General features: G+C 50.4%; 3 annotated features.

Annotated features, from left to right (window-relative positions):
* Positions 11,805-12,084: a silencer, noted in NCBI's record as "silent region_13839". NCBI's record gives its function as "represses an Ori minimal core promoter by ATAC-STARR-seq in GM12878 lymphoblastoid cells {active_cell/tissue: GM12878}" and the evidence as "EXISTENCE:reporter gene assay evidence [ECO:0000049][PMID:35858748]".
* Positions 12,125-12,174: a silencer, noted in NCBI's record as "silent region_13838". NCBI's record gives its function as "represses an Ori minimal core promoter by ATAC-STARR-seq in GM12878 lymphoblastoid cells {active_cell/tissue: GM12878}" and the evidence as "EXISTENCE:reporter gene assay evidence [ECO:0000049][PMID:35858748]".
* Positions 12,305-12,444: a silencer, noted in NCBI's record as "silent region_13837". NCBI's record gives its function as "represses an Ori minimal core promoter by ATAC-STARR-seq in GM12878 lymphoblastoid cells {active_cell/tissue: GM12878}" and the evidence as "EXISTENCE:reporter gene assay evidence [ECO:0000049][PMID:35858748]".

Below are 16,395 nucleotides of genomic sequence, written 5' to 3'. Positions count from 1 at the left end.
AAATAAAATAAAATAATGGCGTAAAGAAGGTGGAACTGTATTTCCCTCTGAGGTAAGAGACCAGAGGTGGGCAGTCAGGGCCCAAAGATTGATCTTCTCCCCCAAAGTCATCCAAACACCCCAGACTCCTGCAACCCTGCTCTGTTCCTTAACACTCAGCTCTCATCTCATGGTCCAAAGCAGCTGCTCCAGCTCCTGCTGTTGCACCCACACTGAGCCAGCTGACTTGACCCAGAGATCATTATGTCACTTCTTTCTTCTCTTATCCCATTGGCCAGCCCTTACTGCCCGTCCTTGCAAGAGGATCTGGGAAAAACAGTTGCTAGGTAGGGAGCCAGGTGCTGACCTGAAAACCCCATTGTGGTGTATGACAGTGGAGTGGGTGCTGGGGAGGAACTAGCCAGGTCTGCTAGAGAGGTTTCCTCTGGGAAAAATCCAAGTCATTGTATGCCATGATTTCCCAGAATGCACTATGCTGCAGCATGAAGAATGTCACATTTTGTTTTATTTGAACTCCCTAGCATCTTGGGCACAATTCCACTTTGTTGTTAATGCCAAATCCACTTCCCAAGGCAAAAATGTAACGGTTTTTGGACTTTGCTACTGGCTCAGAGTCAGACTGCTCAGATTTAACTCTGGGCCCTCTTCCAACAGCTGTGTGGCTGTAGGCAAGTTACCCACCTGCTTGTGCCTCAGTTTCCTCACCTGTAAAATGGGGATAACAACTGCTTCTGGCCAGGCACATTGGCTCATGCCTGTAATCCCAGCACTTTGGGAGGCCGAGGTGAGCGGATCACTTGAGCTCAGGAGTTTGAGACCAGCCTGGCCAACATGGTGAAACCCCGTCTTTACTAAAAATACAAAAATTAGCCAGGCATGATGGGGTGCGCCTGTAATCTCAGCTACTCAGGAGGCTGAGGCAGGAGAATCACTCTAACCCAGGAGGCAGAAGTCACAGTGAGCCAAGATCATGCCACTGCACTCCAGCCTGGGCAACAGAGTGAGACTCCATCTCAGAAAACAAACAAACAAACAAACAAAAAACACAATTGCTTCTACCTCATATGATTTCATGTGGGTGGCCAGGTGCGGTGGCTCACGCCTGTAATTCCAGCACTTTGGGAGGCCGAGGCGGGCAGATCATCTGAGGACAGGAATTTAAGACCAGCCTGGCCAATATGGTGAAATCCCGACTCTACTAAAAATAAAAAAAATTAGCCGGGCAAGGTGACGCACGCCTGTAATCCCAGCTACTCGGGAGGCTGAGGCAAGAGAATCGCTTGAACCCGGGAGGTGGAGGTTGCAATGAGCCAAGATTAGGCCACTACACTCCAGCCTGGGTGACAGAGCAAGACTCCGTCTCAAAAGAAAAAAAGAGATTGCGTCTGGGAGCACCCAGCACAGCACAGGCACATAGAAACAGCTCAATGAATCCTCTGTCCCCTGAGCCACCAGTCCCATCTCTGAATCTCAGCTTCTTCATTTGTGTAATCAGGGGTGTGGTAGCTGATCTCCAAAGATGGTTTCAAATAATTCTTCCCCTTTCTGCACACATACACCAGTCCTAACAAGAGGTATCTGGAGGCCAAAGCCACTCCGTCTTAGATGCTAAGCTGCCATGTTGACTTCTGATTACCCTCAGTTCCAGGACTACTTTATCTACTGTTAAAAACACGTACCTCCAGCCCTGGCAACATAGTGAGACCCCATCTCTACAAAAAAATAATAATAATAATTAAAAATTAGCTGGGCATGGTGCGTGTGCCTGTAGTCCCAAACCGTTCAGGAGACTGAGGCTGGAGGATTGCCTGAGCCCAGGAGTTTGAGTCTGCAGTGATCTATTATCCCATCATTGCCCTCCAGCCTGGGCAACAGAGCGAGGGCCTGTCTTTTTTTCCTTTGAGATGGAGTTGAGCTCTGTTGTCCAGGCTGGAGTGCAGTGGTGTGATCTTGGCTCACTGCAACCTCCACCTCCTGGGTTCAAGCGATTCTCCTGCCTCAGCCTCCTGAGTAGCTGGGATTACAGGCGCCTGCCACCACGACTGTCTAATTTTTGTATTTGTAGGAGAAACAGGGTTTTGCCATGTTGGCCAGGCTGGTCTCGAACTCCTGACCTCAGGTGATCCACCTGCCTTGGCTGCCCAAAGTGCTGGGACTACAGGTGTGAGCCACCGCACCCAGCCAACAACCTGTCTAAAAAAAAGAGTGTGCACGTAGTGTAAATCCTGCCCGTAGGTCAAAACAACATTATCCTGCCCTTAGTCAAATTACTTCAATTGTCTTACAAACTTCTTCTAAAGTATGTATACAATTTCTCTATGGTATTTAAAGCCCTGGGTCTTGGGGGTAGGGGCACAGGGATCCATCTAATCTCGTGGCCTCCTGAGACATGGCTTCTGTGTGTAAGTCTTTAGTAAATGTTTCTTTCTGAGAAAATGCATTTGTTAGCCTCTTTCTTTTCTTTTCTTTTCTTTTTTTTTTTTTTGAGACGGAGTCTTGCTATGTCACCCAGGCTGGAGTGCAGTGGCGCAATCTTGGCTCACTGCAAGCTCCGCCTCCCAGGTTCACGCCATTCTCCTGCCTCAGCCTCCCCAGCAACTGGGACTACAGGTGCACGCCGCCACGCCTGGCTAATTTTTTTGTATTTTTAGTAGAGACGGGGTTTCACTGTGTTAGCCAGGATGGTCTCGATTTCCTGACCTCGTGATCCACCAGCCTTGGCCTCCCAAAGTGCTGGGATTACAGGTGTGAGCCACCGCACCCAGTTGGCAGCCTCTTTCTTTGAGGCTTTCTTTGAATCTCTCAGCTTCCTGGGCCTTTGGGAGTAGGTTTGCACAGACCTGCTCACCACAGAACAACATGGAACTTACATCGAATTCCCTGGGTCCAGCCTGGACCTGGCACAGTGGCAGAAGTAAGGATGTGCCACTCGGGGCCTGACCATTAAGAGAACAGGAAGTTTCCACTTCCTTTCTCGGAACCCAAATACCGTGCTGCGAGGAAGCCCGACTGACATCACCTTTGCAAAGATTATGACGGCCAGATAAGTCTAGCGCAGCTGACTCCATCCTGCTTCCAGCCTCACGGGCTGGCTGGCCTTAGGCATTCCTGGGCGTAGGCCAAACTAACCCTGGGAGAAATTTAGTTTATAGTTTGTTTGTTTTCTTTTTCAACATTTATTCTAGGTTCAGGGGGTGCATGTGCAGGTTTGTTGCGTGGGTAAATCGTATGTGGCTGGGGTTTCCTACACAGATGTTTTCATCAGCCAGGTGGCAAGCACAGTACCTGACGGGTAGCTTTTCCATCCTCACCCTGCTCCCACCCTCCACCCTCAAGTAGGCCCTGGTGTCGGTTGTTCCTCTCTTTGTGCCCAGTTTAATTTTTTTGTTGTTGTTTTGTGGGTTTTTTTGGTTTTTTTTTTGTTTGTTTCTTTGCTTGTTTTTCTTTTTTTGAGATGGAATCTCACTCTGTCGCCCAGGCTGGAGTGCAGTGACGTGATCGCAACTCACTGCAAGCTCCGCTTTCCTGGGTTCACACCATTCTCCTGCCTCAGCCTCCCAAGTAGCTGGGAGTAGCTGAGACTACAGCCACCCGCCACCATGCCTGGCCCATTGTTTTGTGGGTTTTTTTAGATGGAGTCTCGCTCTGCTGCCCAAGCTGGAGTGCAGTGGTGCGATCTCGGCTCACTGCAACTCCACCTCCGGGGTTCAAGGATTCTCCTGCCTCAGCCTCCCAAGTAGCTGGAATTACAGGCATGCGCCACCACGCCCAGCTAATTTTTGTATTTTTAGTAGAGACGGGGCTTCACCATGTTGGCCAGGCTGGTCTCAAACTGCTGACCTCAAGTGATCCACCCGCCTCAGCCTCCCAAAATGCTGGGATTACAGGCGTGAGCCACTGCACCTGGCCTTTAGGTCCAGTTTATAGTTTAAAGCAAAGACAGTAATAGTCCCTCCCTAAAACTGCTTCCTTCCTTGCTTGGAAACTGAAACCACCTTTGCTAAACTAAAGAAAAGTCCATGAGATTCGGATAACAGAGGGGCCTGAATTCTGCTAAAATGTAGACCTAGTTTCCATCATCCCTTACTGCTCAGGAGTCATATGGCCAAGATTCATGACGTCCCCAATGGCTCCTATAGACAATGTCACTATTGTAGAAACGGAGATTGGTTTTTTGAGATGTTTTTCACACTTTTGCATTCTGACAACCTACTGACCCCACCTGGATCTATGACGACTCATGACTCAACCAGTCCGTGTCCCCCACCCAGGGGTGGACTCAGAGCACAAGGATTGTTCCCACCCACTTCTGAGTGCATCCCCAACCAATCAGCAGCACCCATTCCCTACTACACCCTCCTCACCCCCCTTCACTCCCACCCCCCAACTGCAAACCAAATTATCCATTAAAAGCCTAGCCTCTGAGTTCCTGGGGAGGCTGATCAGAGCAATCATAAACTCCTGTCCTTCCAGTTGGCCAGCCTTGCATTAATTAAACTTTCTCATCTTTTTTGGGGGGTGGGGTGGGGGTGGAGTCTTTCTCTGTCACCCAGGCTGGAGTGCAGTGGCACGATCTCGGCTCACTGCAACCTCCACCACCCAGTGATTCTCCTGCCTTAGCCTGCTGAGTAGCTGGGATTACAGGCACCTGCCACCATGCCCAGCTAATTTTTTTGTATTTTTAGTAGAGACGGGGTTTCACCATGTTGGTCAGGCTGGTCTTGAACTGCTGACCTCATGATCCACCCACTTTGGCCTCCCAATGTGCTGGGATTACAGGCGTGAGCCACCGCACCCGGCCAATTAAACTTTCTTTACTGCAACAATGCTGTCTCAGTGAATTGGGTTTATCTGTGCAGCGGACAAGACGAACTCCTCAGGCAATTTCACAAGCAGCTCCATGGATAGGTCCACACGGAGGGTAACAGTGGCTCCCAGCCACCCCGCAGTCTCCCAGGCAGGAGAATGAGCCATCTTGGAGGTGGGCCTTCCAGCCCAGTCAAGGTATCCCAGCTGATGCCACATGGAGCTAAGAGATGGCCCTGCTGAGCCCACAAAATTGCAATACTGTGGCCAGGTGCGGTGGCTCATGCCTGTAATCCCAGCACTTTGAGAGGCTGAGGTGGGAGGATCACTTGAGCCTAGGAGTTAGAGACTAGCCTGGGCAATACAGCAAGACACCATCTCTATTAAAAAATATATATAGGCCAGGCACGGTGGCTCATGCCTGTAATCCCAGCACTCTGGGAGGCCAAGGTGGGTGGATCACCTGAGGTTGGGAGTTCGAGACCAGTCTCCTAGCCAGGAGACCAACATGGAGAAACCCCGTCTCTACTAAAAATACAAAATTAGCCGAGAGTGGTGGCAGGCGCCTGTAATCCCAGCTACTGGGGAGGCTGAGACAGGAGAATCACTTGAACCCGGGAGGTAGAGGTTGCAGCGAGGTGAGATCATGCCACTACTCTCCAGCCTGGGCAACAAGAGCAAAACTCTGTCTCAAAAAAAAGAGAAAAAAAAAAAAGAAAAGGAAAGAAAAGAAAAGAAAAGAAAAAAATATATATATACACACACATATATAGCAATATTGTAAGCCAATGAACAACTATTGTTTTGAGCTACTGAATTTTGGGGTGGTTTGTTATGATCAATGACCGGAAGACAGTGTGACACGTAAAAGTAGGGTGGTACAGAAACAAAAAATACACCTGGCATTGGTTTGGGGACCAGAGAGTAGAAAGGACCTTGACAAAACTGTTAGTGAAAGCTTAAAGAACAGTGAGGAAATTACTTTTTTCTTTTTTTTTCTGAGATGGAGTTTCACTCTTGTCGTCCAGGCTGGAGTACAGTGGCACATCTTGACTCACTGCTCATTTGCCACCATGGCCGGCTAATTTTTTTGTATTTTTAGTAGAGACAGGGTTTCACCATTTTGGTCAGGCTAGTCCCGAACTTCTGACCTCAGGTGATCCACCTGCCTCGGCCTCCCAAATCACTGGGATTACAGGCATGAGCCACCACATCTGGCCCAATATAGAGTTTTTTTATTTTTATTTTTTTTATTTTTTGTTTTGTTTTGTTTTTGAGAGAGTGTCACTCTGTTGCCCAGGCTGGAGTGCAGTGGTGCGATCTCAGCTCACTGCAACCTCCACCTCCCGGGTTCAAGCAATTCTCCTGCCTCTGCCTCCTGAGTAGCTGAGATTACAGGCATGCACCACCATGTCCAGCTAATTTTTTTGTATTTTTAGTAGAGATGGAGTTTCACCATGTTGGTCAAGCTGGTCTCGAACTCCTGACCTCAGATGATCTGCCTGCCTCGGCCTCCCAGTGCTGGGATAACAGGCATGAGCCACAGCGCCCAGCCCAGGAAATTACTATTGGAAGCTGAAGAAAACAAGGCCCAGTTATGTAACCCAAGTGAGATATACTGGAACGCTTGTTTTAATCACCTCTCTTGACTTCATCAGTGCAGGAGGGATTCCTGACCTAGGATTATGGCAATGGCTGAACACAGGACACCCGAATCTGGACAGAAGAGATCCAGAGCAGTTTATGAGTCACATGTACTCACAGCTCAGGAGAGGAGGACACACTCTGCAGGGCCACACAGGGCTTGTGCCTGGTACCAGTGGACCACAAGAGGCTTTGTAGTATCAAGAGGGTAAGGGTGGCCGGGCGTGGTGGCTCATGCCTGTAATACGAGCACTTTGGGAGGCTGAGGTGAGTGGATCATTTGAGGTCAGGAGTTCAAGACTAGCCTGGCCAAACATGGTGAAACCCCATTTCTGGCCGGGCGTGGTGGCTCACACCTGTAATCCCAGCACTTTGGGAGGCTGAGCCGGGTGGATCACGAGGTCAGGAGATCGAGACCATCCTGGCTAACACGGTGAAACCCCGTCTCTACTAAATATACAAAAAATTAGCCGGGCGTGGTGGCGGGCACCGGTATTCCCAGCTACTTGGGAGGCTGAGGCAGGAGAATGGCGTGAACCCAGTAGGCGGAGATTGCAGTGAGCGGAGATCGCGCCACTGCATTCCGGCCTGGGCGGCAGAGTGAGACTCTGTCTCAAAAAAAAAAAAAAAAGAAACCTCATTTCTACTAAAATATAAAAATTAGCCGGGCATGGTGGTGAGTGCCTGTAATCCCAGTTACTTGAGAGGCTGAGGCAGGAGAATCACTTGAAACCTGGAAATGGAGGTTGCAGTGAGCCGAGATCGTGCCACTGCACTCCAGCCTGGGTGACACAGCGAGACTCATCTCAAAAAAAAAAAAAAAAAGTTGAGGTGTCCTCTGGTTTCGTGGTGTATGTGATTGGCTTGTTTTTATAATTCCATGGGCTGGCAGGGAACTGAAACCAGCTACTCAGGGGGAAGCAGGAATTGTACCCGGTCCACCTGATAAGGAGGATTGCTTGGCACTTGGCTAGAGTACGTTATGTTGAAATGTTGAAAATGCCAGCTATTTTCTTTCTTTTTTTTTTTGAGATGAAGTCTCACTCTTGTCCCCCAGGCTAGAGTGCGATGGCGCGATCTTGGCTCATTGCAACTTCTGCCTCCTGGGTTCAAGCGATTCTCCTGCCTCAGCCTCCTGAGTAGCTAGGATTACAGGCATCTGCCACCACCGGCTAATTTTTGTATCTTTAGTAAAGACGGGGTTTCACCATTTTGGCCAGGCTGGTCTTGAACTCCTGACCTCAGCCTCCCAAAGTGCTGGGATTACAGGCGTAAGCCACCGCGCCCGGCCAACCAGCTATTTTCTTTTAGCTGCTTATGATAAAATTCAAGATTATAATGAGTGAAAAAGGAAGGATTCAGGTCTCAGGTAGAATTACGAGGGCATATAAAGGAGCCAGGATTTGCTGGTTTCAAACATATAAACTATCATGTAATTTCTTTCTTTCTCTTTCTTTCTTTTTCTTTCTTTCTTTCCTTCTTTCTTTCTTTCTTTCCTTCCTTTTTTCCTTCTTTCCTTCTTTCCTTCTTCCTTTTTTTTTTTTCTGAGATAGGTTCCAGCTCTATCACCCAGGCTGGAGTGCAGTGGCACAATCTTGGCTCAGTGCAACCTCTGCCTCCCCGGCTCAAGCCATCCTCCCACCTCAGCCTCCTGAGTAGCTGGGACTACAGGTGCAAACTACCATGCCCGGCCAATTTTTGTATTTTTGGTAGAGATGGGGTTTCGCCCTGTTGCCCAGGCTGGTATCCAGCTCCTGGGTTCAAGCAATCCTCCCGCCTCAGCCTCCCAAAGTGCTAGGATTACGGGCGTGAGTCACTGCACCCCACCTAATTTCAGTTTTTGTTTGTTTGTTCCTTTTTTTTTTTTTTTTTGAGACCGAGTCTCGCTCTGTCGCCCAGGCTAGAGTGCAGTGGCGCGATCTCTGCTCACTGCATCCTCTGCCTCCCGGGTTCAAGCAATTCTCCTGCCTCAGCCTCCCAAGCAGCTGAGACAACAGGTGTGCACCACCATGCCTGGCTAATTTTTGTATTTTTAGTAGAGATGGGGTTTCACCATGTTGGCTAGACTGGTCTCGAACTCCTGACCTCAAGTGATCCACCTGCCTCAGTCTCCCAAAGTGCTGGGATTACAGGCGTGAGCCACTCTGCCTGGCCCTAATTTCATTTTTTAAGCAATGAGGTTAGTTTCTTTTATTATAAACTTAGCCTCGCAGTAAAAGATTTTAAAAAATATCTTGGCAGTTTTTGCGCCTAGGACAGAAACTGGCATGGTGCTTATCCACACTGACATCTGAATAAATGCGGTCTGAGACCTGTTCTTCTTCTATTTCTCAAGTTGCTGCCTGCAAACGGACAAGAATCTGTTACCTTGAAGAGAGCAAGAGCAGAGCATGTGACTCCAGCAAAAAGTAGGGCATCTGGGGAGCTGAGATGACTGAAAGCCACCAGGAAGGTACTTTCCAGGCAGTTAAATTTTTTCTTCTGGTATCCCCACTCTCCTCCATCAGCCACAGATTGCTCCCTAGAAGAGGTGATCTGTGATGCCAAGTCAGTGATGCTCAGGGCTGGGTACTATGATCTTCCTCCAGGTGTCAAGGAACTTGCAGGAAATCGTCAGGCCAATTCGGGCTGCCACGACGAAGCAAGTGAGGCTCATAAAAGTAGTCACCCAGCCAAGATTTGAACTGTGGTCTCTCTGAGGATAAACTCATGCTCTGTCAACTACATCAGGGGGTTTCAAGCTTTCTCCCAAAGGCCTTGCCCTGTGAATACCAGGAAACCCATAAAAGTCCCAGATCTCAGATGAGGATAGAAATACATGCCATCATTTGCATGTTACAATGCAAAACCTGTGGTACTCACCTGCTTCAGCAAGCAGGATGGTGTGTGGATGCCCTCAGACCACTCCAGTCTGACCTGGGTACGTCGGAGCAGCTGTGCTGGACCTCCACCCTACAGGCACTTTTGCAGTGTCATTCATTCAACCATTATTTATTGAGGGCCACCATGCTCCGGGCCCTGGCATGGTGGACTGTACGCAGGGAGGCAGCCTGGGCACAGGGAGGCAGCCTGTGTACAGGGAGGCAGCCTGGGTAGAGGGCGGCAGCCAGTGAGGCCAGACTGCCTGCATCTGCAGCACGTTCACCTGTGTGATGCTGAGTGTGTGAATTACTGGTCTGTTTTCTCTTCTGTGGGATGGCAGTAACATAGGCTTTCTCCTCCCAGGGTGGCCAGGAGAAATGGATGAGTTAAGGCACGTACACAGTGCCAGTCATATAGCAAGCAGTCTCATTTCTTTTTTCTTTTTCTTTTTTTTTTGAGACAGGGTCTGGCTCTGTCACCCAGACTGGAGTGCAGAGGTGCGATCTTGGCTCACTGCAACCTCCGCCTCCCAGGCTCAAGCCATTCTCCCACCTCAGCTTCCCACGTAGCTGGGACTACAGGCATACACCACCGTGCCCGGTTAGTTTTTGTATTTTTTTGTAGAGATGGGGTTTTACCATGTTACCCAGGCTGGTCTTGAGCTCCTGGGCTCAAGGGATCCACCTGCCTCAGCCTCCCAAAGTGCTGGGATTACAGGCGTGAGCCACTGCCCCAGCCTCTCATTTCTTTATTACTATTATTTGATAACTGATGGATGGATTTAATTACAAAATTGTAAGATACACAGGAAAGGCCATGGTTAAGCCCATTTTACAGATGAGAACAATTGAGGCTTGGGCCATTGAAAAAGGTTGCTGGGAATAGAGTAGGTAGAATTATTCCCACTTTATAGACAAGTAGACTGAAGCTCAGGGAGTTAAGTCACCAGCTCAAGGTCAGTATCAGTGTCAGAGCCCAGGCCCAGGCCCCTCCGGCCTCAGTAACAGCCCCCTCTTTGAACTCTGAACTAATGGGGCAGTGTTTCACAGAAGGCACAGGTGGCCTCAGTGACGGGAAAGGCCCAGGAGGACAGGTGGCCTGAGATGGCTGAGGTCCTGCAGCAGCGTGTACTCCTCCAGCTGAATCGGCCTGGGCCTCACCTCCTTGGTCCTCACCTGCTCAGACTCTGCAGGAAGCTCCCTGGGAAACGGTTCAACCCAGAGTTTGTGCTCAGAAAACCCATCTTCCCACCGCCACTGGGCTCAGCACCTAGGCCTGGCTCCATGGCTGACAGCGATTTATTTATTTATTTACTTATTCATTTGAGACAGAGTCTCGCTCTGTCAGCCAGGCTGGAGTGCAGTGGCACAATCTCAGCTCACTGCAACCTCCGCCTCCTGAGCTCAAGCGATTCTCCTGCCTCTTCCTCCTGAAAGCTGGGATTACAAGCATGTGCCACCAAGCCCAGCTAATTTTTGTATTTTTAGTAGAGATGGGGTTTCACCATGTTGGCCAGGCTGGTCTCGAACTCCTGACCTCAGGTAATCCGCCCACCTTGGCCTCCCAGAGTGCTGGGATTACAGGCATGAGCCACTGCGCCTGGCATTAATAGGGATTTAAACGCGTAGACCCCCAACACCCCTTCCTCACCCAGCAGCTCCCAGAGCAGCCCCTAGCTCCTGGCTGGATTAGAGGCACCTGGCACTGTGCCTGAAATCAACACCTCCTTTGGGTTTTGGGTTCTCATTAGCCAGAACTTTCTCATGAAATAAAAATGATAACCTGAGGGAAAACTGTTAAAAGTTTGTAATTATAGAAGGGGAGGAGCTCCTGTCTTTCTTTTGTTTTGTTTTGTTTTGTTTTGTTTTTTGAGACGGAGTCTCAGAGTCTCGCTCTGTCACCTGGCTGAAGTGCAGTGGCATGATCTCTGTCGACTGCAACCTCCGCCTTCAGGGTTCAAGCGATTCTCCTGCCTCAGCCTCCCAAGTAGCTGGGACTACAGGCATGCGCCACCACGCCCAGTTAATTTTTGTAGTTTTAGTAGAGCCAGGGTTTCACCATGTTGGCCAGGATGGTCTCGATCTCTTGACCTCGTGATCTGCCTGCCCCAGCCTCCCAAAGTGCTGGGATTACAGGCGTGAGCCACCGAGCCCGGCCAAAAGGACGCAGACTCTGTTTTGAAGGAGGAGGTGGAAAGGGATGGAAGAAACTTCCAGAGCGTGCCGTTTTCTTTGTGACAGGCTCTGTCCTCGGCAGGGGCAGGCGTGACCTCTCTGAGCCCATGAGCGGGAACTGTTTTTGCCCTGGACACCCTGGGATGGGCCCTGCCATGTTGCCCAGGCTGGACTTGAACTCCTGAGCATCCCCTGCCCCGCTGCCCTCTCGGCCTCCATTCGGGAGCTTCACATCCCCCTCCCCTCACCCCCACGAGTCCTGGGGGGCCAGCTGGGAGCTCTGCGGGGAGTAACCCCACGAGGGCAAGGCAGGGGAGGGCGCCGCCCAGCGCCCCGTGGGGCTTCCGCCGCCTCGAGGCAGACCCGGATCCAGAGGGCGCCTGGACAAGGTAGGGCCCCCATCCCGCCCCGGCTCCGCGTGCCCTCACAAGAATCACCCGTCTCCGACCGTCACCTCCTCCCGCTCCCGGGCCTCCCCGGCAGCCCCCACGACCGTCCACCCCGGCCCGCCCGGCCCGGGCTCCCGCTCTCTCGGCCGCTCTCCGCGGAGCCCCGCAGCCCAAGGGGCAGCACCTATCCCGGGACAGCGGCCTCTCTTCCCCACCGAGGCGTCTGCAGGGCTCCCCGTAGCGGCGCGGGGCTCGGGGACACGGACTCGAAGGAACCTGAACACCTCCAGAGCGTGGAGGTTGTGGGGGATGAGCCCCAAGAGGCGCACCCCTCCCAGGCTGCCGGGACCCAAGGTGGGCACGGGCTGGGTCCGAGGAAGGGGTAGAGGAGGCAGGATTTGGGGCTCGGCTGGAGCAGAGCAGCGGCAGAACCCCCAGCCGAAGCCGGTGGGAGTGGAGATTTCGGATGGAGCCGGCTGGACCCGCGCCCCGGGCGCCGGGAGCCTTTTCCTGGCTCGGGCGCGCCCCCTGGAGGCCGGAACCTGACATCAAGCGCACCCAAATTGCTGGGACTACAGACCTGGCGACAGTACCCAGCCCATCCTACTCAACTGCAAATGCCCCCTTTTACACTTAGGTCTATTTCTGGACGCTCAAAGATCCATTGAGATCTATTCTGCATTGGTTGGACAGAACCAGTTTTCTTCATCTACAAATAATAATACAACTCTCCTTTTTTTTTTTTTTTTTTTTTTTTTTTTTTGAGACAGAGTCTGGCTCTGTCGCCCAGGGTGGAGTGCAGTGGCGTGATCTCCGCTCACTGCAGCCTCCGCCTCCCGGGTTCAAGCAATCTGGGATTACAGGCATGCGCCACCACTCCAGGCTAATTTTTGCATTTTTAGTAGAGACAGGGATTTCACCATGTTGGCCAGGCTGGTCTCGGACTCCTGACCTCAGGTGATCCTCCCCCCTCGGCCTCCCAAAGTGCTGGGATTACAGGGGTGAGCCACCACACCCAGCCAAGTTAATTCAATTTTTAAAAATAAATAATTTTTTTTTGAAACGGAGCTTCACTCTTGTTGCCCAGGCTGGAGTGCAATGGCGCGATCTCTGCTCACTACAACCTCTGCCTCCCGGGTTCAAGCAATTCACCTGCCTCAGCCTCCTGAGTAGCTGGGATTACAGGCGTGCACCACCACATCCAGCTAATTTTGTATTTTTAGTAGAGATGGGGTTTCACTATGTTGGTCAGGCTGGTCTCGAACTCCTGACCTCAGGGGATACACCCGCCTCGGCCTCCCAAAGTGCTGGGATTACAGGCGTGTACCACCCCACCCAGCCAAAAAAATAAAATTAAAAATATGTATATAAATAATAATATATATTATTAAATATAATAAATATATATAGAAATAAATAGGCCGGGCGCGGTGGCTCATGCCTGTAATCCCAGCACTTTGGGATGCCAAGGCGGGTGGATCACATGAGGTCAGGAGTTCAAGACCAGCCTGGCCAACATGATGAAACCCCCGTCTCTACTAAAAATACAAAAATTAGCTGACCATGGTGGCGGGCACCTGTAATCCCAGCTACTCGGGAGGCAAGGCAGGTGAATCACTTGAACCCAAGAGGCAGAGGTTGCAGTGAGCCAAAATCATGCCATTGCACTCCAGACTGGGCGACAAGAGCAAGACTCCGTCTTAAAAAAGAAAAAAAGAAAAGAAAAGAAAAGAAAAAGAAAGAAATAATGGACGGGGTTGGGAGAGCTTCTGGACAGCTGAACACTTGCTGGTGCCTGGAGGGTAGTGTGCCTGGAGAGGGCATGGAGGTGCCACACACTTCCCCTTCCCTTGCCCTATGGATCTCTTCCATCTGGTTGTTCTTCTGTATCCTTCTGAATATCCTTTATTTTATTTTATTTTATTTTTTTGAGATGGGGTCTCAGTCTGTCACCCAGGCTGGAGTGCAGTGGCAGGATCTTGGATCACTGCAACCTCCACCTCCCAGGCTCAAGTGGTCCTCCCGTCTCAGCCTCTCAAGTAGCTGGGACTACAGGTACACACCACTATGCCCAGCTAATTTTTTGTATTTTCAGTAGAGATGGAGCTTTGTCATGTTGCCCAGGCTGGACTTGAACTCCTGAGCTCAAGCAATCCACCTGCCTCAGCCTCCCAGAGTGCTGGGATTACAGGCGTGAGCCATCACACCCGGCCCCTGAATATCCTTTATGATAAACCTGTAAATGTTAGTGTTTCTCTGAGTTCTGTGAGCCATGCTACCAAATTAATCAAACGTAAGTGGCGGGTCTTGGGAACTCCAACTTACAGCTGGACAGTCAGAAGTGTTACCAGCACACTGGGTTCTTGTAATCTTCCAGGATAGAAATCAAGAGAGATCACCAGACATAGCAGCAAAAAGAAAGTTTATTTTAGCTTGTGCACAAGGAAGCCAGCACTGAGAAAGGAAAAGGAACGGGCTGCTCCCCAGGGGTGTTGTGTGGGTTAGTTTTATAGCAGTGGTCCCCAGCCTTTGTGGCACCAGGGACCAGTTTTGCAGAAGACAACGTTTCCACGGATGGGGGGCTGAGGGGGTGGTTTCAGGATGATTCAAGCACATGACATTTATTTGCACTTTATTTCCATTATTATTACATTGTAATATATAATGAAATAATTATACAACTCACCATCATGTAGAATCAGTGGGAGCCCTGAGCTTGTTTTCCTGCAACTAGACGGTCCCATTTGGGGGTGATGGGAGACAGTGACAGATCATCAGGCATTAGATTCTCATAAAGAGTATGGAACCTAGATCCCTCACATGCACCGTTCACAATAGGGTTCACGATAGGATTCTCCTATGAGAATCTAATGCTGCTGCTGATCCGACAGAAGGCGAGCTCAGGCAGTAATGCAAGCGATGCGGATCGGCTGTAAATACAGATGAAGCTCTGCTTACTCGCCCCCCACTCACCTCTTGATGTGTGGTCCAGTTCCTAAAGGCCGTAAACTGGTATCAGTCCATGGCCTGGGGTTTGGGGACCCCTGTTTCATAGGGTTGTGAAAGGAGAATAGGGCCAGGCACGGTGGCTCACGCCTGTAATCCCAACACTTTGGGAGGCCAAGATGGGAGGATCACCTGAGGTCAGGAGTTCTAGACCAGCCTGGCCAACATGGTGAAACCCTGTCTCTACAAAAAATACAAAAATTAGCCAGGCATGGTGGCACACGCCTATAGTTTCAGCTATGGGGGAGGCTGAGGCAGGAGAATCACTTGAACCTGGGAGGCGGAGGTTGCAGTGAGCCAAGATTGCGCCACTGCACTCCAGCCTGGGTTATAAGAGTGAAACTCCATCTCAAAAGAAAAAAGAAAAAAAAAACAAAAACCAACACCAAGCACAGTGAGATGCTTCACACCCACGAGATGGCTATAATCAAAAGTCAGATAATAAGTGTTGGTGAGGATGCGGAGAAATTTGAACCCTCCTGTGTTGCTGGTGGGGATGTAAAATGGTGTAGCCACTTTGGAAAACATTTTGGTAGTTCCTCAATAAGGTAGACATACAATATATAGAACCCAGCAATTCCACTTCTAAGTATATATGCCCCAAAGAAATGAAAACATATGTCAGCACAAAAGGTACACAGATGTTTACAGTAGCATGATTCATAATAGCCAGAAAGTGAAAACAACTTAAATACCCATAAACAAATAAATAAAGTATATATCCACACCATGGCACCCTGTCACCCAGGCTGGAGTGCAGTGGTGTGATCCTGGCTCACTGCAACCTCTGCCTCCCAGGCTCAAGCCATCCTCCCACCTCAGCCTCCCTAGTAGCTGGGACTACAGGCATGTGTCATCACAACTGGGTAATTTTTTTTTTTTTTTTTTTTTTGAGACAGAGTCTCGCTCTGTCGCCCAGGCTGGAGTGCAGTGGTACAATCTCGGCTCACTGCAACCTCCACCTCCCGGGTTCACGCCATTTTCCTGCCTCAGCCTCCTGAGTAGCTGGGACTACAGGCACCCGCCACCATCCCCAGCTAATTTTTTGTGTTTTTAGTAGAGACGGGGTTTCACCGTGTTAGCCAGGATGGTCTCAATCTCCTGACCTTGTGATCCGCCCACCTCGGCCTCCCAAAGTGCTGGGATTACAGGCATGAGCCACCGCGCCCAGCAATTTTTGTGTCTTTTGTAGAGATGAGTTTTCGCCCTGTTGCCCAGGCTGGTCCTGGGTTCAGCTGGGCACAGTGGCTCACGCCTGTAATCCCAGCACTTTGGGAGGCCGAGGTGGGTGGATCACGGGGTCAGGAGTTCAAGACCAGCCTGGCCAACATGGTGAAACCCTGTCCTACTACAAATACAAAAATTAACCGAGTGTGGTTTTGCCAGCCTGTAATCCCAGCTACTTGGGAGTCCGAGGCAGGAGAATCGCTTGAATCTGGGAGACAGAGGTTGTAGTGAGCTGAGATCGCGCCACTACACTCCAGAGTGGGCGAACAAGTGAGACTCTGTCTCAA

The sequence above is a fragment of the Homo sapiens genome, chromosome 22 (assembly GCF_000001405.40).
Source record: "Homo sapiens chromosome 22, GRCh38.p14 Primary Assembly".
In the NCBI taxonomy this organism is placed as follows: Eukaryota; Metazoa; Chordata; class Mammalia; order Primates; family Hominidae; genus Homo; species Homo sapiens.
Note: the sequence above shows the minus strand (reverse complement) of the source record. Positions and strands in the feature narration are given on the sequence as shown.